General features: G+C 55.0%; 1 protein-coding gene across 33 annotated transcripts in view; it reads left to right on the top strand.

The window, feature by feature from the left end:
• BRD1 (bromodomain containing 1) overlaps positions 1-22937 on the top strand; it is a 54596-nt gene that overhangs the window by 26833 nt on the left and 4826 nt on the right. For 8 of the 33 annotated variants that reach the window (NR_146335.2, XM_047441274.1, XM_017028722.3 and 5 more), the window contains 5 exons: positions 1922-2053; positions 2355-2483; positions 2924-3236; positions 6747-7007; positions 13154-13651. Coding sequence is in view for 26 of the 33 variants with exons in the window: in XM_047441274.1 (XP_047297230.1) it covers positions 1922-2053; positions 2355-2483; positions 2924-3236; positions 6747-7007; positions 13154-13651 (1333 nt within the window). In the remaining 7 variants the exon portion in view is untranslated. Of the gene's footprint in view, positions 1-1921; positions 2054-2354; positions 2484-2923; positions 3237-6746; positions 7008-13153; positions 13652-17061; positions 22932-22937 lie in introns of those variants that run through there. The other 25 variants (XR_007067965.1, XM_047441278.1, NM_001304809.1 and 22 more) reach the window with 13 other exon arrangements.

The following is a 22937-nucleotide window of genomic DNA, read 5'->3' as shown; positions in this document are numbered from 1 at the left end:
TGGCGGCATTGGGCCCAGTGGCAGGAGCTGGGTGCTGTTGCCAGGAGGCCTGGGGTCGGCCACTCTGTAACACTGTGGGCCCTCACCCCAGGAGCTGGCCTGTCCTCCCAGCAGAGGCGATTTTAACCTGACCGTCGCCTAGCCCTGCCCTGTGTCTCCCCCATGTGTCTGGAATGGACGCGGAGGCGCTCAGCTTCTTCCCGGCAGTGGGGATGCCTGAGTGCTTCTTCACTTCTGTCCTTTCTCGTGGAGCCTCCCACTGTTGATTTTTACATGGGAAATATCGAGCCCTTGAGAGCCGAGTAAGGAACCTTGATCCTTCTGAGTGGATGAGGCTGCATGTGTCATGGGACCTTGGGCCCAGGTGCTGTCAACGGGGCCCCTGCCACTGCCGATGGCGTTTGTTAAACCAGGTTGGGGAGCAGACTAGTAAGTTTGCTTAGCAGCCAGTGCGTGATAAAGGGCTTCCTGGTGATGAGGAGATTTCTTCCGCTTCGTAACAGATTCCCAGGCCAAATGTCCTTTTGGCCGAGGTTTTCAGAAGTGTCGATTGCAAGCTGAGGGACAGGCAATACTCAGATGCTCCGGGGAGCTTGGTTTTTGGAGCCCACATTTTCCTGCCTTTGCTTGAGTTGATGTGGATCTTGTTACTCTTAGCCCCGATTTCCTGCCTGAGGGTGTTCAGCAGCATTGAGGAAAACCCAGAGATCCTCACTTCAGGGGACATCAGCGCAGCAACGCTCTGCCTCGCCATGGAGAGGCCTGGCCTTGGGGGTGGGGGTGCGGGGCTCGGCCTCCCTCCTTGAGCCTCCTTTTCTGAGCAGTTTGGAGTCCGGGGTCCTTGCATCTTGTAGTCCAGCAGTCTTTGCCTTCACACCCTCGGTCCTTTGAAAAGCTATGACAGTACCCTGAGGTGGGCAGGTGGGAACCCGGGGACAGAGGCGTTGGGGGAGAGGAGGGTCTCAGGGCTGTGAAGCATGTGCCAGAAACTGATGGCCACGGCTGTCCTGAGGCTGGCAGGGCGCGCGTGTCCTGCAGCTGTGGAGGATGACAGGTGTTGGGGGCCCACTCAGGCCAACTCCCTCGTTGACTTCCTCTCCCCTTTGAGGTAGGGTCAGGGTGCCCCGGCACTGTGACGAGCAGGCCTCATGCGGCCAGGCCTGGGGGACATGGTGAGGACAGGGCTGAGGGCAGACCCAGGTGGCCTACTCTCCTGCGACCATCTGTGTCATGGCCTTTGCAGGGCTCTGATTTTCTTCTGATCACCCTGGTGTGGATGTTGGCTGGGTTGAGGCTGGCGGCCTGTGCTGTCTGGCGCACTCTTCTGTCCACTGAGAAGGGAGCAGGTGCTATCAATGGAAATGGGACCCTGGCTGTGGGGAAACGTGTGTCGGGATGGAGGCGCTGTGCAGGGCAGGGCAGCAGGTCGGCTGTGTGCCAGGCCCCCGTCATGCTCTGTCCAAGCCAGGATGGGCCCAGCATGTGGTTTTCTGTGCACCTGGTTTCTTTCCAGCCGCTCCCTCCATTCCCAGCTGTCCTGGAGGTGGGTCCTCAAGGGTCCCCCATTCTGTCCTGGCCCCGCCTTTGTGGGCCTTTCTGGTTCTGTGAAGGCCCCCCCCGCCGCCAGCTTGCGGAGGCCTCTGTCCTCTCTGGAGGGTGGAACCTGTGCACCGGGGCCAGCCCCCTGCTCACCTTGGCCTGGCGGTCCCCTCTGTCCCCTCCATCCCCTCTGTCTCCTCTGTCCCCTCTGTCCCGGTGCTGTCCTGGGGCTCTCTAGTGAGGGTGGTCTGTTGTCCTCCCCAGGATGGGCCTGCAGGACCCCTGACGTGGATGCCTCTTGGGGTCTCACCTGCATGGTATCTGAGGCCTTTTGCAGAAGGAGCCTCTGGGTTTGACTGACGGAAGTGTTCACTGTTCTCAGAGAGAAAATGATGAGGAGATGAAGGCTGCCAAAGAGAAGCTGAAGTACTGGCAGCGGCTGCGGCACGACCTGGAGCGCGCTCGCCTGCTGATCGAGCTGCTGCGCAAGCGGGAGAAGCTCAAGCGTGAGCAGGTGGGGCTGGGCCTGTCCCGCGTGGAGTGCACCACTGGCCACGGGGCGTGGGTGGGACGCTGGCAGCTCCTGCAGAGGGTGGGCTGCACCCGGTGGGTCCTGGCCCACAGCAGTGCCTTGCTCAGCCCAGGCTGGGTGCCTGGCTGCCATGGGTTGCAGAGCCCTAAGTGGAGGCTGCGTTGTCCTATGCCTGGACGGAAGCACAGGAGCCTGTGGGGGCTGCTTGTGGCTGTGGGGCGCGTGGTGGGGCTGAGACGCATGTGCGGCTCCCTAAAGCTGAGGCTCTGCTGGGCCCCCCCAGGTGAAGGTGGAGCAGGTCGCCATGGAGCTGCGGCTGACCCCGCTGACGGTGCTGCTGCGCTCAGTGCTGGACCAGCTGCAAGACAAGGACCCCGCCAGGATATTTGCGCAGCCCGTGAGTCTGAAGGAGGTGGGTGTTTGCGGCGCTCGTCTGTCCTGCCGCATGTGTGACTGTGGATTTGTGCTGCCGTTTGACCGGGAAACGTGTGATTGGCTAGAGTACATCCCTTGTGTTCTTAATTCTCGTTTTTATTTAACGTATTTGTTTTTAAATTATAAAAGTGATACATTTCATTGTAAAATACTGAAAGTGCAGTGGGCAAGAGGCCCTGTGCAGACAGTACCCTGGGCTGTGGCAGCATCCGCCCGGCACCCTCCAGCGTGCTTTAGCTGAAGGAGCTGGGGTCGGGAAGGTCCCTGCAGTACTTGGGTCTTATGTCTGTACCGTCTGCGTGTCTGTGTGTGGCTCTCAGATAGGATGGGCTTGTGGGTTATATGGAATAATAAATATAGAGTCAACTAATATCCTGTTTTAGTTTGTAAATGATTCTTTTTCCTCCCTAAAATTAGGTACCAGATTATTTGGATCACATTAAACATCCCATGGACTTTGCCACAATGAGGAAACGGTTAGAAGCTCAAGGGTATAAAAACCTCCATGAGTTTGAGGAGGATTTTGATCTCATTATAGATAACTGCATGAAGTACAATGCCAGGGACACCGTGTTCTATAGAGCCGCGGTGAGGCTGCGCGATCAGGGAGGTGTTGTTCTGAGGCAGGCCCGGCGCGAGGTGGACAGCATCGGCTTGGAAGAGGCCTCGGGGATGCACCTGCCTGAGCGGCCTGCTGCGGCACCGCGGCGGCCTTTCTCCTGGGAAGACGGTAAGAACTGGCGCCGTGTCCGGAGGAGGTGGAAGACGCTCTTTCTAGCAGACTCTGTCCTGCTCTGTGTTGCCAGCTCCCTATCAGCATGGTCCGGGAGCCACTAGCATGCAACCGCATACATCATTTACATTTTCTAGTAGCCTCACTGAAAAATGGAAAAGAAGCAGGTGGAATTTACTTTAATAATATGTCTTATTTTACTCAGTGTATGGAAGAGTTGATTTCAACATGGGATCGGTAAACGTTACTGAGGATATATAAGCTTTTCACCTTCTTTGCCATCTGATGTGTATTTTACGCTCAGCACCTGTCACTTCAGACTGGCTGCGTTTTGGGTGCCCACCAAGAGGACTGTGTGGCTGTGGCTCCCTATGGGGTGGCCGGTCTCGACGATGCAGACCCAGAAAGCAGCTTAGTTGGGGGTTTTCATCCAGAGTGGGCCTCGGCTAACTTCTGAGGGTGGCGTGAAGCCGGAGGATCTCTGGCTTTGCCTCCAGCCCTTTAACTTCGTGGTTTGCGCATGTTGTAGAAAGGGCTCTGGGAGTGTGTCCACGGCCCACCTGGACTCCAGCCTGGGCTTGTGCTTCTTGGTTGCCCAGGCACGTGTTGCAGCCATGTGTAGTCACCTGCACCCTTCTCTAGACTGGTCCTCGGAAACCGGGGCTGTCCCCTGCACCCTGCTTGTTAGTCGCACCTCTGGGATTGTCTGTCGAAGGGTGTGTCCTGCCCACATGGGTTGTCAAAGCACATAGAGCTCCAGCACCTCAGCTCCAGCTCTGAGCCACAAACTGAGCAGAAATCACGGTGTGTTTGGCTTATTTGTCTAAAGGTCCCATATCCCTGATTTCTTGGCCTACCCTTTCTCTTGATGAATCACTGACCCGTGCTAGGTCGCTTCTTCTGGGATGAGGCCTGGCCCTCTTCCTCTCTTCCACGTTCCCGCCATCGCGGGGTCCACGTTCCCGCCATCGTGGGGTCCGCTTCCCGCCATCATGGGATTCAACCAAGCTGGGCCATCGTTGCTTCGCCCTCTGTTCCCCTCATGGCAGCAGTGCTGGGCTCCCTGCTTCCCGTGGGGTCCCGCAGCACTCGGCACCTGTGAGGATTGGAGGATGGGCTGTACTCTTTTAAAGACTGGGGATAGGGCCAGGTTCTGTGGCTCATGCCTGTAATCCCAGCACTTTGGGATACCGAGGCGGGTGGATCACTTGAGGTCGGGAGATTGAGACCGGCCTGGCCAACATGCAGAAACCCCGTTTCTACTGCAAACACAAAAAATTAGCCGGGCATGGTGGCGCATGCCTGTAATCCCAGCTATTTCGGAGGCTGAGGCAGGAGAATCGCTTGAACCTGGGAGGTGGAGGCTGCAGTGAGCGGAGATTGTGCCATTGCACTGAAGCCTGGGTGACAGAGTGAGACCCTATCTCCAAAAAAAAAAAGAAAAAAGAGAGAGGCCGAGGCGGGTGGATCACGAAGTCAGGAGGTCGAGACCATCCTGGCTAATGTGGTGAAACCCTGTCTGTACTAAAAATACAAAAACAAAATTAGCCAGGCATGGTGGCGGGCACCTGTAGTCCTAGCTACTCGGGAGGCTGAGGCAGGAGAATGGCGTGAATCCGGGAGGCGGTGCTCTCAGTGAGCCGAGATTACGCCACTACACTCCAGCCTGGGCGACAGAGCAAGACTGTCTCAAAAAAAAAAAAAAGAAAACACAATGGAAATATATTTTTATTCTTTGTCTCTGATTTTCTGATTTTAAGAGTAACACGTTTTTCTTGGAGAAATTTAGAAAATAAACACAGGCTCCAAACAGTGCTGCTGGCTCTTGGTGAACCCGGGTGGAGCTTTAACCCCTCTCTGAAGCTGCGCTCTCCAGGCTGATCAGACCAGCTATCCTTTTCCGAAACATTCCCTTGGGGACCTGAGAGGAGCCAGGGCTGAGCCGCCTCAGAGTGAGCCCAGGGCTCCATGGGCTCATGCTTGTCCTGGAAGGTCCTTCTCTAGCCTCTGGTGACCGTGGGAAAGCTTCCCCCGCCTCCCACAGCCATCACGCTCTGGCTTGGATGCCTTGCCTGCCATCAGCTCTCAGACGCCCACCTGGTGCCCGCTGCTGGCTGCTCAGGACGTACGCTGGTTGCCTGCCCTTCAAAGCAGGAAGATGCATCACTCTTGGACTCCCTGTCTTCTTAGCAGCCCGGAGCCTCCTTTGCCCCTAGGGCCCTGCTCCTGTGCTCCCCCACATCATGCTCCCAGCACCATGCCACCTCCCTCGAACAGAGCAGGTGTGGAGGCCTCTGAGTGTCAGCGCCTTTCAGATCATGGTCATGCAAGTTGTTAAGTGAATTTCTACACCCGGGTTTTTTTGCTAAGGAGAAAATGAAGGATGAGAAGTCCTGGTTTCTTTCTTTCTCAGTATTTGGGAGTGCACAGGTGAGCCAGTGGCCATGGTGTGCCTTGAGGGTGCACCTGCTGCTCTTCTCAGCACGGCCGACACCTCCCATTGCCTGGAGCCTGAGCCACAGACCTGGAGGCCGTGGGTCTCTGTTTTGAAAGAAACAGACGTTTCGAGGCTTTCTTCTTGGGGTTTCAAAGGATATGTTTTTTTGTATGAACATTTTTGAGTATTATCTATGACATTTGTTCAGAGTGATGTTATGGATACGAGTCTTGAAGGACTGATTTGTTTCTCTCTACTACTTTATTTATTCAGCCAAAGAGACAGATGCTTTCAGTAAAACACCTGTTTCTAGATGAAGAGAGTTCATGTGTTTTTGGGCAGTCTTACTTTTTTTTTTGTCTTCTCTCTCCTTCTTGCTCTGGTTTTATCTTCAGATAGCTCTGAGGAGCAGTTTCTTTTCTTGGCCATCTCTTACTTATTTAAGGTAATTTGTGCTTTATAAATTTTGGTGTTTTTGAAAGCGAAGTTTCTAGGGACTTTGTAGTAAATACGTCTGAAATTCAGAATGATCTGTGAATTTTACAACCCGTTTACTAAAGCCACACAATGATCAGCATCTGAAGACTTCAGCTAAGACACCACTTAGGACGTGCAATGGCCCTAACTTAACACATTTGCCAGTCGTCACCTCTGTTTGCAGAGCCAGCGCAGGTCCAGCTGAGTTGTGCTGGGTTGGTGGAGCGTGCGCCTCTCTCTGGGGTCTGTGTGCTGTGCCCTCACCCAGGCAGCCAGGCTGTCTGCACAGGCAGCCTCAGTGGGTCCTGGTCCAGGAGAGGTTGCGATCTTACCTGGACGCTGCCCCTTCTGTGCTGACAGTGTCATGGGAGTAGAAATTCTCCATCAGGAGCATCCCAGTGTGTTCCTGTAGCAGCAGCTACTCGTGGGTTCAGAGTGCAGGGGAGGGGCCTCTGGTGAGCAGGGCCTGGGCCTCGTTGCTAACAGCCACTCTCAGGGCCTTGGCCGAAGGTGATTTGAAAGACGGGACCGGTGATGTGTTCCCAGAAGGTGCGTGGGACCTGATGACTGACAGCATGTGTCCTTTGGTTCAGTGGACAGGTTGCTGGACCCCGCCAACAGAGCCCACCTGGGCCTGGAGGAGCAGCTGAGAGAGCTGCTGGACATGCTCGACCTCACCTGCGCTATGAAGTCCAGCGGCTCCCGGAGCAAGCGGGCAAAGCTGCTCAAAAAGGAAATTGCCCTTCTCCGAAACAAGCTGAGCCAGCAGCACAGCCAGCCCCTGCCCACGGGGCCAGGCTTGGAAGGCTTCGAAGAGGACGGAGCTGCGCTGGGGCCGGAGGCGGGCGAGGAAGGTAAGCCACGGTGAGGGCTGCCCCGCTTTCTTGCCGTCACGGCTCAGGCTCAGGCACAGGCACAGGCACAGACCCAGACACGGGCAGCAGCGTTGGTGTGCACGGAGGCTCAGGTTAGCGCCAGTTCCGTAAAATTCACAAATCCCGGAACACTTGATTTTCCCACTGGGCTGTTGTTTCCTTTTAAGGAGACGTTATCATTTGTGCTGTCTGTGTTTTCTCACATAATCAGTTGATAAAATTTAAGGCACAGAATAAAATTTTTCTCTTTAACTTGGGCCTGAGAAACTATTTGAAAAGAATGGTTTAGATCTTACACTGTGTTGAAGAGTAAAGGTAGCCTGAATGATGAGAGTGAGAAATGTTTTTGTTGCATTTTGTAAATTGGCGGGGAGCCATTTAATTGTGCGCTAGGCCATCAAATGCAGCATTTTGAAAGGGCTGTTTTAGATTATTGGCACTTAAACACTCCTCCCTGATGTTGTGAAGGGAGGGACGGTACCTGCAGAGGCCTTGTCTGCCCCGAGGGTCCCCGGCCAGCTCCTCTGCAGAGTTGGTAGGTAGCAGCCGTGATCGTTGCCAAAGAATGTCTGGGGAAAGGTCCAGGCAGCAAAGATGTTTTTATGACTAAGAAATAAATGTAGGAGAAGAAATCCGCCTATCTAGAAGGAGAACTAGCAAAACCCAGGGCAAATGCAGGCTTGGCATGGTGAGGAGGGAGTTTACGAGCGATGGTCTGTGTACATCTAGGTTGGCAGGGTGAGGAAGTAGAGCTGGTGTGTCCCATATTTGGTGAAAGAGGAATTTTAAAACTAAATCGGATTTGGAGACGTTGATAGAAAGTCATTGCCACTGTGTTTTGCCGTGTGTCTCTGCAGTTGACCTTGACACGCTCCGGTTACACGAAGCAGACAGTAGGGTCAGACCCTCTTGCCACAACATTGGCAGCTGGTTCTCAGCCTTCTTGCCCTTCCCCTGCACATCCAAGTCAGAACAGCAGACAGTTGAAATAAGACACAGAATTGTTGTACAATTTTCTTTTAAAACAAAGACGTTCATCTCTTATGGACGTCTGTGCTCGGAGTGACGCAGTGTCTTCATGATGCCACACAGGTCAGCGGGTCCCCATGGTCTCAGGGCCCTTTTCATCCCCTGAACTTCTTGTGGCTCCTGTCTGCAGAGCTTCGCCCCTTTTATCCTGTTTTACATTTGGGCAACTTGAATGAGAGCCATTAAGCTTTTCTTTCTCTTAGAAACTTACTCCTGTGCACACAGCTGAGAATTTCTTATGCATCCTTTTGCTCATTTTGTGCCTGTTTGTTGTTCTGTTCTGGGATTCTTCTGTTTAGTTCACCATAGTATAGTACCCAGACTCTAGAATGTCTCTTTTGGGGCTGGCGTCAATTACGTTAGGTCCATAGAATAAAGGCTTTTCTATTTCAAGGTGAGCGCTTGGTTTTCTCTTCTCCCAAAGGCTGTTATTGTTGGCACGTGATCCCTCCTCTGCTTTGGGGGCCTCGTGTTTTTTCTGAGGAACGTTTGCCTACAGGACCCTCTGGCAGCCATACCTGTCCGGGCCCTGGGCCGCCCCATTGTGCCCAGGAGTCCAGGCTGGTGCCTGGTCCCGCAGCCTTTGCTTCCGTGCAGCCCACCGAGGCATCCTCTGGCTGTGTGGGCCTCCCTCTAGGTGGACTGCCCTTCTGTCCTTGTCTTCTGTGCCCTGAGGACTGAGCTGTGAGGAGGTTGCCAGCAGGTCCACTCACCATTCTCAAAATAGCTTCCAGCGCTTCTCTTCGCACACAGTTGTACCATTTTCACTGTAGAGCAGTAAGTTACCTTTTTAGCTTTTTTTTTTTATCAGTGGCTTCCTCCATTGCCATTGGGTCACAGGGCTGAGGACCCCGCACGGTTATTGGGTCACAGGACTGAGGACCTCGCATGGTTGAGGACCTCGCATGGTTGGAGCTGCTTGGCCCTCCGCTGTGGTGAGCGTGGCTCCTCATAACACCCAACGCTTAGCAGGAGCCTTTGGAGACCATTTTTGTTGCTTTGTAGCTCTGGAATCATTTTATTTTTATTTTTTTTCTGGGGCCATTGTAAGGAAAACACAATGTGACTGAGACACAGGTGGCCTCGAATCACCTGTTACACCCAATGTTCACAATGACTCAATTGATGAAAAGGGCGTTTCCTGTGAGCTGATGGGAAGGTGGGTGGAGAAGCAAGTGGCCTGAAAGTCCACTCCGAGGTGAGGCGGGTGGGGTCCTGCCCCTCAGAGAAGTTGGGGGTCTCTGGAGAGGTGGGGCGGGCGGGGTCCTGCCCCTCAGAGAAGATGGGGGTCTGTGGAGAGGCGAGTGCCAGACTGGAATGGGGAAGTCATTAGGGAAGACAGCCACAAGCAAGCTTGTTGGTTGGTATAGAAATGTGACTTACGATACTTATAATAGGATGAAAACCAAGAATCAGACATTTAAAAACCCAGCATGAACGTTCTCATCAGTAAAGCCTCTCCATCATTTTTCTTAAATATAACCACAATATTTTCACACCTGAAAAGAGTAATTCCTCAATGGCAAATACACAGTCTCACTTAAACTGTAATTTAACAGTCTGTGTGTTGTGTTTATATTTTGCTTCCACTTGAAGCAGCTTGAACAAGGCTGTAGCCGTTGAGTGCCAGGCCCCTGAGACTTTAGTGTCTGAAGGAAGGAGATGCCTCCTGGGCTGCACTGTTGGCCCCGGTCTGCCCCTTGTACAGGCCCTCCCGCAGGCTCTGCCGTAGCCGCGACTCAGTCTGCCGAGTGCAGAGGTTCGGGCTGTTGCTGTGAGCTGGCCCTGCCAGGGCTGACTTCCCCGGGGCTGCGTGTCAGCTGGGTGGGGGCCACGCCACAGCTGGGATTCCAGCCTGTCTGATGAGCCTGTGGGACGGATCTGCAGCTGGCAGAGGGCTTGTCTCCACCCTGTGCTGAGGTTGGTGTCTGCTGACATGGTGAGGCAGGTCAGTGCAGTCAGGAGGAGCAGGGTCCGCACCGTGAGCTGGTGAAAGGGGCTTGCATTTCGAGTCCTTGGGATTTCCAGTCACAGTGATGCCCTTGCCAGAGGCTCCGGGGCGTCCCCTTTAGTCCAGGGCAGCTGTGGTCCCTTGAAGTGCACGTGTGGAAGTCCCCCTGCCGTGCACGGGCGCTGAGCACGTGGAGAACTGTGGCCCTCAGGAAAGGAAGGATGCATGTTCCTCGGGGTAGAAGGTGCGGAGTACGCAGCTTTGTCCCTTCAGGATTGCAGAGGACGGAGGCTTGAGGCAGGGTTGTTGGAGGGACAGTGTGGTTGCTGCTCGTGAGCTGAAATGTCTGCCTGTGTTACGCTGTGATTTTCCAAAGCGTCTTGTGGCTTCGATACAGAAACCTTTGATTGACATAGCAGGTGGCCAGGTGGGCAAAATATTGCGGAATTGTTCTTGCAGACTTAACTAGGTTTTAGTTTCTTAGAGTAGCTGGTTTGGATTAGATAACCATTTTGCCATTTGGAATATGTGACAAGTTCCAGGGACTGGAATTCTAGGATCCTGACTGATACATTGACGGGGTCTGAGAGGCTTATGCCCGAGTTGTATCGAGCATGTTCTGAGCTTTTCCCATGTGCAGTTCAGTGACAGCCTGAGATGGCCCAGAGTCAGTGAGCTTTGAGAGGAGTCTTCCTTCTTGTATGTCAACTTCCAGTCACATTTCCACTCGAGGGACGGGTTGGGCTTGCCTGTTGTGTCGTGGAGCCTGGAGGCTCAGGTCCTGTTTTTTTCTGATTTTATGGATGAGGAACTGAGGCACTGAACGGTCCGGGGGCCTCTGTGGTCCCGGCTGGGGGAGGGGCCTGTGTGGTCCCGGCTGGGCAGGTGGCTGAGCACCCAGACGACAGCGACCTCTGTTCCTGACCACGGCCTCCTTTGTGCCTCTGGTCAGTGCTGCAGGAACGCATCCTTTAGCCTGCGTGCTGGCGGCTGGAGCCCGGCCTGCATGTGGAGCTGCCGCAGAGAGGCCAGGGGCGTGTGGGGTGCATGCATGGCTGAGACAGGGCCACAGGGGCCCGCTTTGGGATAGACCAGGGGTTAGGGAAGTCCCTGCAGCGTGGAGATGGTTATGAGTCCCACATGGGGCATCCTAGCTGGGCCGAGAGCTGGAGGTGTGGAGGAGGGGTTGTGGACCATGGTTGGGGAGGGCCTGCTGCAAGGCAGGGACGTCTGCACGTCTCAGGGCTCCTGCCAGACAGGAGTGGTGGTTCTGAGGGTTGCACCAGAAGCAGGAGATGGGGGTTTACGGTGCCCGTTAGATAGCTGTGGAGAAGGTGGGCTGTAGGTGGTTGGGGGAAGGGGGGTCTCCCGGAGGTGCTGGGAGGAGACTCCTTCAGGCTCCATCTCTGCTGGCCGGGTGCTGTTGCACCCATAGAGGCCAAGACTGGGGTTGACCACTGGCCTTGGCCCTGCAGAGGCCATTGGGATTGCAGTGAGCAGTTGAATGTCGTAATCAGGGCGAGAGCTCGGGGCGGGGGGGGGAGGCTAGGAGGTGGAAGAGGAGGCAGGAAGTGAAGTGAGGCCCCAGGCCCTGTGCCCCAGACACCAGCTGCGTCAGGACGCTGCAGGCTCAGTGCTGAATCCCCTCCTGCTGCTGTACAGGCACCAGGGATGCTCATGAGCAGCCTTTCAGCAGCCCTTCTCCGCATTGCCCAGTTCCCTCCGGCCAGTGTTCCCAGGTGTTTCACAAACACCTTTTCCTTAAGCCTGTTGGCGACATTGAACAGGAGGGAGGGAGTTTTGTCACCTCGCATGTGCCCCTGCCTTGGGATCCAGCATTCCCACATGACAGCTGTGCTCCCTGCGGCTGACACGGGAGGCTTTTTGTTGAGGTGAGGCTTCCCCCTTGTATTTGAATTGGCTGTGAGGTGCTCTAAGGCGCCGAGTGTCATTTAAAATCAGAGGCACCTCGCAGCCGAAAGCACTGCTGCCCGGCGTCATGGCCCAGCCTTGGGAGAACTTTCTTCAGCCTCAAAACATTGCTCTGAGTCCTGTTAAGTTGTGTAGTTTTGTATTTTCAAAACAACTTTTTGAATGACAATAGTAACCATACATACTTCAAACGGTTTTAGGAAAGTTTGCAGGTTTAATGAAATGAAAACTGTACCCAGTGATAATATATACTAAGGATTATTTAAAGTGTTTTATGTCACTTTAAATAATCACAAAATCCTTGGTTTTATGTCACACTTCCTGTTGTCAGTACCGGTCCTGCTTGGAAGGAAGCCTCAGTGGCTGGGCTTGGCTTGTTGTGGCGTCGCCTCGCCCTGTTAGCCTCGTGCCAGAGCCTGTCCGGCCCCCTGGACTCGGGACAGTGCACAGAGCCCCACAGACCAGCCCCAGGCCGTCCTCCTGACCTCGGGCTTTTTACCATTTCACACTTCCGGTTTTTATAATGTCAAAAAGACTTTAAAAAGAGGTTAAAGCCGTCTTTTTCCAAAGACTTCTTATTTTTAAAAGTCAGATTTTTTTTTCCTGAAAGCTCCCATCACAATATTTGGGAACGTGGCACGGACTTCTGTGCTGTGGGGAGCGGGGCTTTTTTCCCTGCCTTTCTTGAAAATCATCCACAGCCACTCACCACTCCCTGTTTTTTTTGTTTGTTTGTTTGTTTTTGCATTTTTGACTTAAGACCTTGACCAGAGATCAGATTTAATGTTGCCTTCCTTTTATTTGCTAACTTCGTGGCCCAGTAGAGCTCTGTGGGAATGCCCGTTTAAGGCCCCTTTAGTTATGTGAGATACCTTTTCTTCCTCAAGGTAAGTGAATTATTCATTGCAGAAACTGTCATGAACTCGAGTGACGTGTTTAATATTGGCGCATGTGAAATAATCTTTCACAGTTTTTTTCAGAGAGTAACTGTGTGCCTGGGCACTGCACCCAGGGCCGCAGCCTTTGGCGTTAGGGAAGCACACACAGTGTGGCCCGAGCCCACGGGGCCCACACTGCCGAGCAGACAGTACATGCGATGCCTTGTTTCCTTAACTGAATTAGTATTTTGGTGGACTTCACATTTATAGTAAGTTTTATAATAGATTTTATAATCTTCAGTTTTCAAAAATCACTTTATTTATAATTTTTTCAGGAGATAAATCTCCCCCTAAACTTGAACCATCAGATGCATTACCTCTTCCTTCAAACTCGGAGACTAATTCAGAACCACCAACCCTCAAACCAGTAGAACTCAACCCAGAGCAGAGTAAACTTTTCAAAAGAGTCACATTTGATAATGAATCACATAGCGCTTGCACTCAGAGCGCACTGGTAAGCGGACGCCCTCCAGAGCCCACCCGCGCCAGTAGTGGCGATGTGCCGGCGGCGGCGGCCTCCGCGGTGGCGGAGCCAGCAAGCGATGTAAACAGACGCACTTCTGTTCTCTTCTGCAAATCGAAAAGTGTAAGCCCCCCAAAGTCTGCCAAGAACACTGAAACCCAGCCAACTTCTCCTCAGCTAGGGACCAAAACCTTTTTGTCTGTAGTCCTTCCGAGGTTGGAGACTCTTCTGCAGCCAAGGAAAAGGTCGCGGAGCACATGCGGAGACTCCGAGGTGGAGGAGGAGTCCCCAGGAAAGCGCCTGGACGCAGGTAAATGCCGCGGGCGGCCCTGAGAGGCGCCCTTGCCGACCAGTGCCTGGAGCGTCCTTCAGGATCATTGGTGTGACGGGGGGGGGGGGGTGTCCAGCTTCTGTTTTTGCAGCATTCTCTTAATTTCCAGAGAAGACAACAGTGCAGTGTTTTCTTTGAAAAGCCTTGAGTTGCGGGTCTGAGGCCGGCGCCTTCGTGGGGGGCCTGTTTGCCACGAGAGATTGTGCAACCTTGCTGGGCTGCCCTGGGCCAGGGGTCGATGGTCCTTGGTCCTGTCTTCTGCCACATACTTCCTCTCTGATTTTTTTTTAAGAGAGTCTTGCTTTGTCACCCAGGCTGGAGTGAGTGGCTCACTGCAGCCTCCAACTCCTGGGCTCAGGTGATCCTCCTGCCTCAGCCTCTTGTGTAGCTGGGACTACAGGTGCACACCACCACTCCCAGCTAATTTGAAAATTTTTGGTAGAGATGGGGGTCTCGCTGTGTTGTCCCGGCTGGTCTTGAACTCCTGGCCTCTGACTCCCAAAGTGTTGGGATTAGATGTGTGAGCCGCTGCACCTGGCCCCTTCTGATCTTTAAAAAAGTACTGAGAATGAATTCAGGTGTAGTTTTAATTGGTCATCTTGACTTTGCTGTGCACATCTGGATAAGCTGGTGACTGGCCGCTCCCAGCACTTGTGGGAGCTCGACTCTGCAACCCTCAGTCAGGTCTCCTTGCAGCCCCACAGACCTAGGACCTGGGGTTGAGCCTGGCCCTTCCCTGGACCTCTGAGAGGACCTGCCCCTGTGGTAAATGCAGTACTTTGCAGTTGATTTCAGCAACATTTACTCATTGTTTTATGTGGCCCTCTTAGCCACATATGTGATGAGGTATTAGGACCTGCTGAAATAGCACTGGAAAGCGCTTCTCATCTCTTGCTGCGCTTTTGTAACTGAACTCTGTTGAATTCCTCGGTGAGGGTGTTGCCGTGTGTGTGCTGTGCTGGGAGCACTTTGAGGAGGCCGCTGTGTTCCTGCAGCCTCTGCTCCCCGCCCCTCAGAGGAAGCTGAGGAGTTTGTCCTTTAAAGAGGAGCAGCTGTCATCGGTTTGCTTCTTCGGTACTGGCTGCGCTTCTGGAGGTGCCGGCTCAGGTTGCCAGCGACTCTTTTCTGGAAGCGTGTCTGGAGCATGTTTGTCATTTTGGTTTTTGTCCCGAGTCAAGGCTTGGTTCCCGTCTGTCCTGTCTGCCTGTTATACCTAGATAAGGAGATGCGCATTTTCTCCTGGCTGTGCTGGTGTGCCGTGGTGCCTCGTGCACTTGAGCAGTGAGAGAGGGTGGGGCTGGGTGGGTGTTGCTTATTTCCCAGAGTGGCAGCAAGTGAGTCCTGTGTCATGGAGCCTCACCAGGCCGGGTGCAGATGGAAGGCTGTGGTGGGCAAGACCTGCCCAGGCCACTCCCTCACATCTTGTCCCTGTTCCTTCTGCTGGTCTCTGGCCTGAAGCGTCCGGGGAGGGGAGTGAGACCAGGCACTGTCAAAGGTCTTTGTGCAGAAGGAGGCTCACTTCCTACCCTTGCCAGCAAGCAGGTCATGCGTCTTGTTGCCAAAGTAATTTCTGGTAAATTTCATTTTGATTTGTATGAAAATTTTGCACGTAACTGAATGTGTAGAAATTTTCTACCCATGTCCTTTTACTTTGATGGATTGATGTTAAATTGGCATTTTAAAATAATTTGAAAAAGCTTTTTTGCTTTCTAAGTAATAGGAAGCTATTGAAATGTTTCACAAGATACCAATAAGAATAGATGTCCTTGACTCAGGACTGGGGGATGTGTCTTAACCACGTTGGTCTTTCTTAGCCACCTTTGGTGAAAGACTCTGACCTGGTTTTCCAAGCACCCCGGAAATTCTGTGATGAATCGGGTCAGGGTGCTGTGCACTGGGTACTAGAGGTTGGGTCAGTGTAATTGTGGGCGTCCCCTCTGCATGCAGAACTTGGAGTTCGGCTGACGCTCCACTTCCTCGGGGTTTCACGTCTGTCGGCGGCAGAGGTATGGGGCTGCGTGCGTGGAGGCCCTGCCGGCCGTGGGGCTGGGGTTTGAGGCGGCCTCCCGTCGACACTCAGCAGGATGCTCACGTGGTGGTTTCCACCAGGTGGCCCCACCTGACCGGGCCCTGCCCCAGCTGTGGGCTCCCACTGTGGACAGTTTTGCCGGCTGGCGGCCACGTCCTCAGCAACCTCTCAGGCTCGTTCATCAGATGTCCCTTGTAGAAGAGCACGTGTCCCCTCCGGGCCACTGTCTTACATTGGAGTGGAGTGTTTTGCGGGCTTCCCGTGGTGACGGTGGTGTAGAGCAGTCTTACTGCAGACCTTCAGTGAGCGTGGCCCATGGTGGCTTTTGAGAATCATGGTGCCCTCTGATCCTGACTGAAGTGGAGATTTCTGCTCTCTCATTTCCGAGTGACAGTGGATTTCCGTGGAGGTGCGGTGAGTTCCTGAGCTCTCTCCTGAGCAGCCGGGAGCCTCAGCAGCATTAAGACCAGGCCCTCGGGAGTGGGAGGCATTCCACTGCTGTGGCCGAGGCGCCCGGGGAAGGGCTGGGCGTGCTCTGAATGGTGCCAGTCCCGCCATCCGCCCTCGCTTTGGTTTCACCGGAACCTTCTGGTGCTCTGCACATGGGGGATTTCTTGCCCAGAGCTGCAGTTCTTCGCAGTCTTAGGACAGGAATTATCCGGAACCTTCTGATGTTTTCCATACATGCATCTGTGTGCTCTGAACTTTAGGGAGTTATCTGGCATTTTCCAGCACACGCACAATTCTGAGTTAGGCTGAACAGGGTCGCTGGTCCTGAGGCGACGCACTCACTGTGGGCCTCCTGCCCGTGTCGCCCGCGGGCCGGCTGTGCTGTGCGCCAGGCTTCTGTTCCTGCGATGGCCCAGCCCCAGAGTCTGGCCCTGACTCGTGGCTTCCTTCCTCCGTGACTGCACGCTCACCAGCAGTGAACCGTCACCTGAAGCGGCCTTCCACTCGCCGCCGTTGCGGAGACCCCTGCTGCGAGTCTCTGTGTGCACGTGCTGGGGCGTGTGAGAGCGTGGGGGTGTCTTTGTCTACTCGCCGCCGTTGCGGAGACCCCTGCCGCGAGTCTCCCTGTGCACGTGCTGGGGCGTGAGAGCGCGGGGGTGTCTTTGTCCACTCACCGCCGTTGCGGAGACCCCTGCTGCGAGTCTCTGTGTGCATGTGCTGGGGCTTGAGAGTGTGGGGATGTCTTTGTCCACTCGCTGCCGTTGCGGAGACCCCTGTTGCGAGTCTCCATGTGCACGTGCTGGGGCGTGAGAGCGCGGGGGTGTCTTCAGTGTCCTTCGGCTGTTCAGGGAGGAGGCTGAGCTGTCCTGCCCTTTCATTCAGACTAAATGGCTTTTTCACTGTTTTCCAGGTTCTCACTTTAACCACTAATGTGCTGGGTAGTTCACTCTTTGGACCCTAATCATTTTCTCTTACCTCAACTTGGACTGGAGTTCTGCTAAGCGGCCGTTTTGGAATGCACAAAGATCACTGCATCTTGCCTTTCACTTAATTCTTGCGGATCACATTGGAATCATCAGCTCAAACATCCTCTAGACAAAATCACAAACAGCAGCCCTGGAGGAGCTCTCCCCCACCCCAGCCCACCCCCTCTGTAAGTCAGAGCCCGGCAGTGGGAATGGTGCTGGCGCCCGGTGCACGCCTGGAGCTGGCGGGATGTCGTGGCACCTCAGCCTTCCCTCTGGACAGTCACGAAGGACGCAGAGGAGAGCCCGGCACCGACTGGGAGCCTGCTGCAGCTGACGACACAGTGGACAGCATTCTGAGGCTGTCCTGAGCATGTGCGGAGCCGTCCCATAGTGACTGGTGGTTTGGGTGTGACGGCCATGCCCAGGCGCGTTGTGCTGTGTCTGTGCCATGGGGTATGGAGGAACTTGGCTCGGCACTGTCTGAGGATGTGGCATGGACAGTGCGTGCTCACTCACTCGCTAGCATCTTCTGTATTTCTGGGTTTTCTACCTGATTTCCTTCTCCCCTTACTTCCCCTTCCTCTGTTTTTTCCCCACAATGCCCAGTGGATTCTTGAGCAGTGCTGCTGTTTGTCTCTTGCTGGTCACCACGCTGAGTGCCCCTGCGGCCAACTGAGAAGTCCTGCTCGTGGGGTGGGGCATCTGTGCGTGGGATCTTGTGCAGGCGTCTGTCCTGGGCCTTGGGTCTGTCTCTGACCATCCCAGCTGCATTGTCATGGAGCTGGGTCCCAGCAAGAGCAGGTCTCGTGCAGGCGTCTGGCCTGGGCCTTGGTTCTGTCTCTGACCATCCCAGCTGCATTGTCACGGAGCGAGTCCCAGCACGATGGGCCTTGGGTCTGTCTCTGACCGTCCCAGCTGCATTGTCATGGAGCAGGTCCCAGCAAGATGGGCTTTGGGTCTGTCTCTGACTGTCCCCAGCGGCATTGTCACAGAGCAAGTCTTGTGCAGGCATCTGGCCTGGGCCTTGGGTCTGTCTCTGACCATCCCAGCTGCATTGTCGCGGAGCGGGTCCCAGCACGATGGGCCTTGGGTCTGTCTCTGACCGTCCCAGCTGCATTGTCATGGAGCAGGTCCCAGCAAGATGGGCTTTGGGTCTGTCTCTGACTGTCCCCAGCGGCATTGTCACAGAGCAAGTCTTGTGCAGGCATCTGGCCTGGGCCTTGGGTCTGTCTCTGACCATCCCAGCTGCATTGTCGCGGAGTGGGTCCCAGCAAGAGCAGGTCTCGTGCAGGCGTCTGGCCTGGGCCTTGGTTCTGTCTCTGACCATCCCAGCTGCATTGTCACGGAGCGAGTCCCAGCACGATGGGCCTTGGGTCTGTCTCTGACCGTCCCAGCTGCATTGTCATGGAGCAGGTCCCAGCAAGATGGGCCTTGGGTCTGTCTCTGACTGTCCCCAGCGGCATTGTCACAGAGCAAGTCTTGTGCAGGCATCTGGCCTGGGCCTTGGGTCTGTCTCTGACCATCCCAGCTGCATTGTCGCGGAGTGGGTCCCAGCAAGATGGGCCTTGGGTCTGTTTCTGACCATCCCCGGCTGCATTGTCACGGAGCAGGTCCCAGCAAGAGCAGGTCTCGTGCAGGCGTCTGGCCTGGGCCTTGGTTCTGTCTCTGACCATCCCAGCTGCATTGTCACGGAGCGGGTCCCAGCAACATGGGCCTTGGGTCTGTCTCTGACCGTCCCCGGCTGCATTGTCACGGAGCAGGTCCCAGCAAGAGCAGGTCTCGTGCAGGCGTCTGGCCTGGGCCTTGGGTCTGTCTCTGACCGTCCCAGCTGCATTGTCACGGAGCGGGTCCCAGCAACATAGGCCTTGGGTCTGTCTCTGACCGTCCCCGGCTGCATTGTCACGGAGCAAGTCTTGTGCAGGCATCTGGCCTGGGCCTTGGGTCTGTCTCGGACCGTCCCGGCTGCATTGTCACGGAGCAGGTCCCAGCAACATGGGCCTTGGGTCGGTCTCTGACCGTCCCCGGCTGCATTGTCACGGAGCAGGTCCCAGCAAGAGCAGGGTGCTGTTGGAATCTTCTTCCGTGTGTGTTTTTGTTGAGAGGTTGAAAAATGCACCAAAACTGCTCTTCTTTTAACGATGGTAAAAGTGAAACTGAAAACAGGAGATAGTGGGCTCTCCTTTGTCACTGCGTGGGGCCCTCAGGGCTCTGGTCTTCAGGGTGCAGGCTCAGCCCACCTGCTTCATACGGCCAAGCTTCCCATGAGCCGGAGAAGCCGAGGTGGCAGCTTGGGTGCCAGCGGCAGGGGCGGGCAGGGGCGGGCTTGTATCCCGTGTTGTGGGGTTGCGTTCCCATGGCTCCGTGCCCTCAGGTGTCTCGGCAGCCACTGATCAGGGCCTGGTGTTCTTACACCTGTGGCCTGGAGGATTTGTGGTGTCCACATGGGTTGGGGGCTGGGAGCCTGAGACCAGAGGAGACTACGGCCCATCAGTCAGACCTGCAGGCCTCCGCCTCCCCAGGTGGGCCCTGGGGCTTCTCTTCCCTGTGGGGAGGGGCGGTGTCTCAGCCGCTGTGGCCTTCAGTCTCTCAGAAGACCCTTTGGGGACCTCCCGGGACAGTTTCAGGTGTGCTGTGGACGTACCTGGTGACGGGCAGGCTTCCGGGGACTGCGCTTGGCTGGGCTGTGGGACACCTTTGCGCCATCTCCTTTGGGGGCAGAGAGGGACATTTCTGTGTTCAGTCTTTGGCCTCCTAGGAGGTCACTGGGAAGGCCCTTGAGGGTGGGTGGACCCTGGCCGCTGTGGGAATTCCGTGCAGCTCCTGTGTTGATGGGGCAGCGGCTCTTTCCTGGCAGCCGCCGCCTCTTTTAACGTATTTCTCACAGTCACCAGCTTTACTTTCAGCGTTAAAAAAAAACCTCGTGCTGAAAAAGTTGCTGAAAGTTGCCCCTTGCTATTTACATGATTTAGAGGCTTGGGCTCGGCCTCAGTGCCTGCTGTTTGCAAATGCCTCATGGACCGGGCACCCATCTCTGCAGACCTTAGGCCCTGGGTTCCCCACGTTGGGCCCCACCTCAAGGCTGGCCTGGGCTTCAGAATGTTCTGGGCTGAGGTCCTTGCAGGGGTGCTGAGGTGCGGGTCATGGTGGACATCTCCCAGCTGGCTGGAAGAGCCTCCCAGGGCGGGAGTTGGCAGGGCCGAGATTGAGAGATCTCAGAACCATAGCTGTCTTAGATTATTTTCTGGTGGTCCAGGTGGAGGCTGGGAGGGTCCGGGCAGCGCAGGCCACCTTGCAGCTCCCCCGAGGTTCTGGGGACTCCAGGCGGTGGCTGCAGAGCCTCCCGGGATGTGTCTGTGTCCTGGTCTGGCTTCTTGGCTTCCTGGGTGACCCCGCACTGCCGCAGCCCCCAGACCGCCTGTTAGCAAGCCTTGCAGCTGTCCCACCCCCGCCAGGCCTCCTGCTGGGTGGTGTCTCGGTTGGGCTGGGTTTGTCTGTGCTGCCCACGTCTTCCCGGGTGCTGTCACATTTTCATGGGTGACACGCAGAACCTCTGTGTGTTCTTGCGTCATACGCGCACTCACTGAATGCTTAGGAAAATTAAGAGGGGCATTTTATCATTCTCCTCTTTCTGAGAATTAAGGACTTGCCTTGTGTTTTAATCCCCTTCCTGGCCCCACTCCATGCACACGGAGCCGGGGCCGTCGTGGCTGCTGAGTGGTCTGTGCATGGCTTGGCTGTGTTGGTGCTGGCACAGCTGCGGGTGATCTCGTGCTAGGGCCCTCAGGCTGGCACCTCTGGGCAGTCTTGTGAAGGCCGCACTGGTCATCGTCTTCCCCCAAGTGGCCGTTGCTCGGCCAACCAGTAACTACTAAAAGCCTCCCCACCCAGGCCCTGGGCTGCGTCTGTTCAGCCTGGAGCAGGCTCACCCTGCACCTGGGGTCTGGAGTGTGCTGGGGGCCGGGCTGTGGGGTGTGGGTCGCCAGGCTCGTGGCTGCTCTCTGGAGACGGGTCACACGCGTTGGCAGACCCCTCTCCGGGCCTGTGGGCTGAATGCTGGCAGGGGTGCTGGGCTCCGTCCGTCCACTGCTGATGCGAGCTGGGTGGGCTTCCCTTGCCTTCACCCACTCAGGTTGGAGTAGGGATGGAGTCGCTGCTCCTGAGGGGTTCTCGGGGGCCAGGACGGGACTTTTAATTCCCTCTTGAGACATCTTCGGGGCCTGAGTGTGCAGGGTCTGAGCCCACTCTGTGATGAGTATGGGGAGCATGTGGAGCCCCAGGGCAGCTCAGCGTGTGGCTCAAGGCCTTCTCCTGTAGGTTTTTAAATTTATTTGTTCCCTTGCCAGAAATGAGTATGACACCCCCAACTGGCCACAGTTCCTGCCTTAAAATGACCGAGGTTAAAATGAGAAACACAGAGCTTCCCTTGGAGGTCACGGTACATTCCAGTCCAGGAGAGACGGAGCCGGTGTCTGACTTGAGTCTGTGGAGGGCAGCAGTGCACCCGCCCAATCTGTGCATTCCCTTCTGAGCTTGATTTAGCCCCTCTGTTTCAGTCAGTCATGCTCATTGAGAACAGACAGCAAGTGTATGAAGCGGGTGGAGGCTGATTCAGCCCCTGTATTGAAAAGTCGGTCGTGCTCATTGAGAACAGACGGGAAGCGTACGAAGCGGGTGGAAAATCCCGCAGTCCAGCCATTCCCTTCAAAACATGCCTCCCAGCCACTCAGGAGGCTGAGGCAGGAGGATCACTTGAGCCCAGGAGGTCAAGGTTGCAGTGAGCCATGGAGTCCATTGCACTCCATCCTTGGTGACAGAGTGAGACATCGTTTCCAAAAAAATTCTACAGAAATGCTCTATTTACAAATTTACATAATTTCCTTTGGAAATAGATTTAAAAATTTTTTAAGGATGAGGTAGGTAGGCAGGAAAACGGGGTTCTTTTTGGATAAAAAAATTCACATGGCCGGGTGTCATGGCTCATGCCTGTAATCCCAGCACTTTGGGAGGCCGAGGCAGGCGGATCACGAGGTCAGGAGATTGAGACCATCCTGGCTAACACGGTGAAACTCCGTCTCTACTAAAAATACAAAAAATTAGCCAGGCATGGTGGCGGGCGCCTGTAGTCCCAGCTACTCGGGAGGCTGAGGCAGGAGAATGGCGTGAACCCGGGAGGTGGAGCTTGCAGTGAGCCAAGATCGTGCCACTGCACTCCAGCCTGGGCGACAGAGTGAGACTCCGCCTCAAAAAAGAAAAAAAAAATCACACACCCCTTTAGCTCTGACACCCAGAGGGCCCCCAGCAGGAACATCATCCCCCCGTTGTGACTCCCATGGGGGACCTCATCGGGGGGCCTTGGGCAGATGTGTTGTTTCCCGTTGACTGACAAAGTCAGGATTTTTAGGGGGAAAATACTGAGATTTGCCTTATTTTTTAAACATTGAGATGATGGAATTGTGAGTGGTGTTTTGTTTAGCTGTGTACAGTACTTGCAGCTTCATGGTGAGTGAGGCCAGACACACTCAGACACGGCGATGGCCCCGGATTTTGTGTTTTAAAGTGTTTCGTCAGCATTTTTGACTTCATGTTAACACTTGTCTTTTGAACCAAGGTTTTTTCTTTTTAAAACCTGATTTCCTATTCCCTGGAGCTCTGCTCCTGTGAACATGTTTTTGTGTCTTTGGTGGCCCCTTCGGCCTGGTGAAGTTTCCGTTCAAACGCGGCCGGTGCCCACGTGGACAGGCCGCCCCCGTGTTTGCACTCACAGGTTGCACATCTGCCCCCATGGCAGGCTCACGGCATCCTTTCTTTGCCTTCACAG

The sequence above is a fragment of the Homo sapiens genome, chromosome 22, assembly GCF_000001405.40.
Source record: "Homo sapiens chromosome 22, GRCh38.p14 Primary Assembly".
In the NCBI taxonomy this organism is placed as follows: Eukaryota; Metazoa; Chordata; class Mammalia; order Primates; family Hominidae; genus Homo; species Homo sapiens.
The sequence above is the reverse complement of the archived record's forward strand: the minus strand, read 5'-3'. Positions and strand labels throughout refer to the sequence as shown.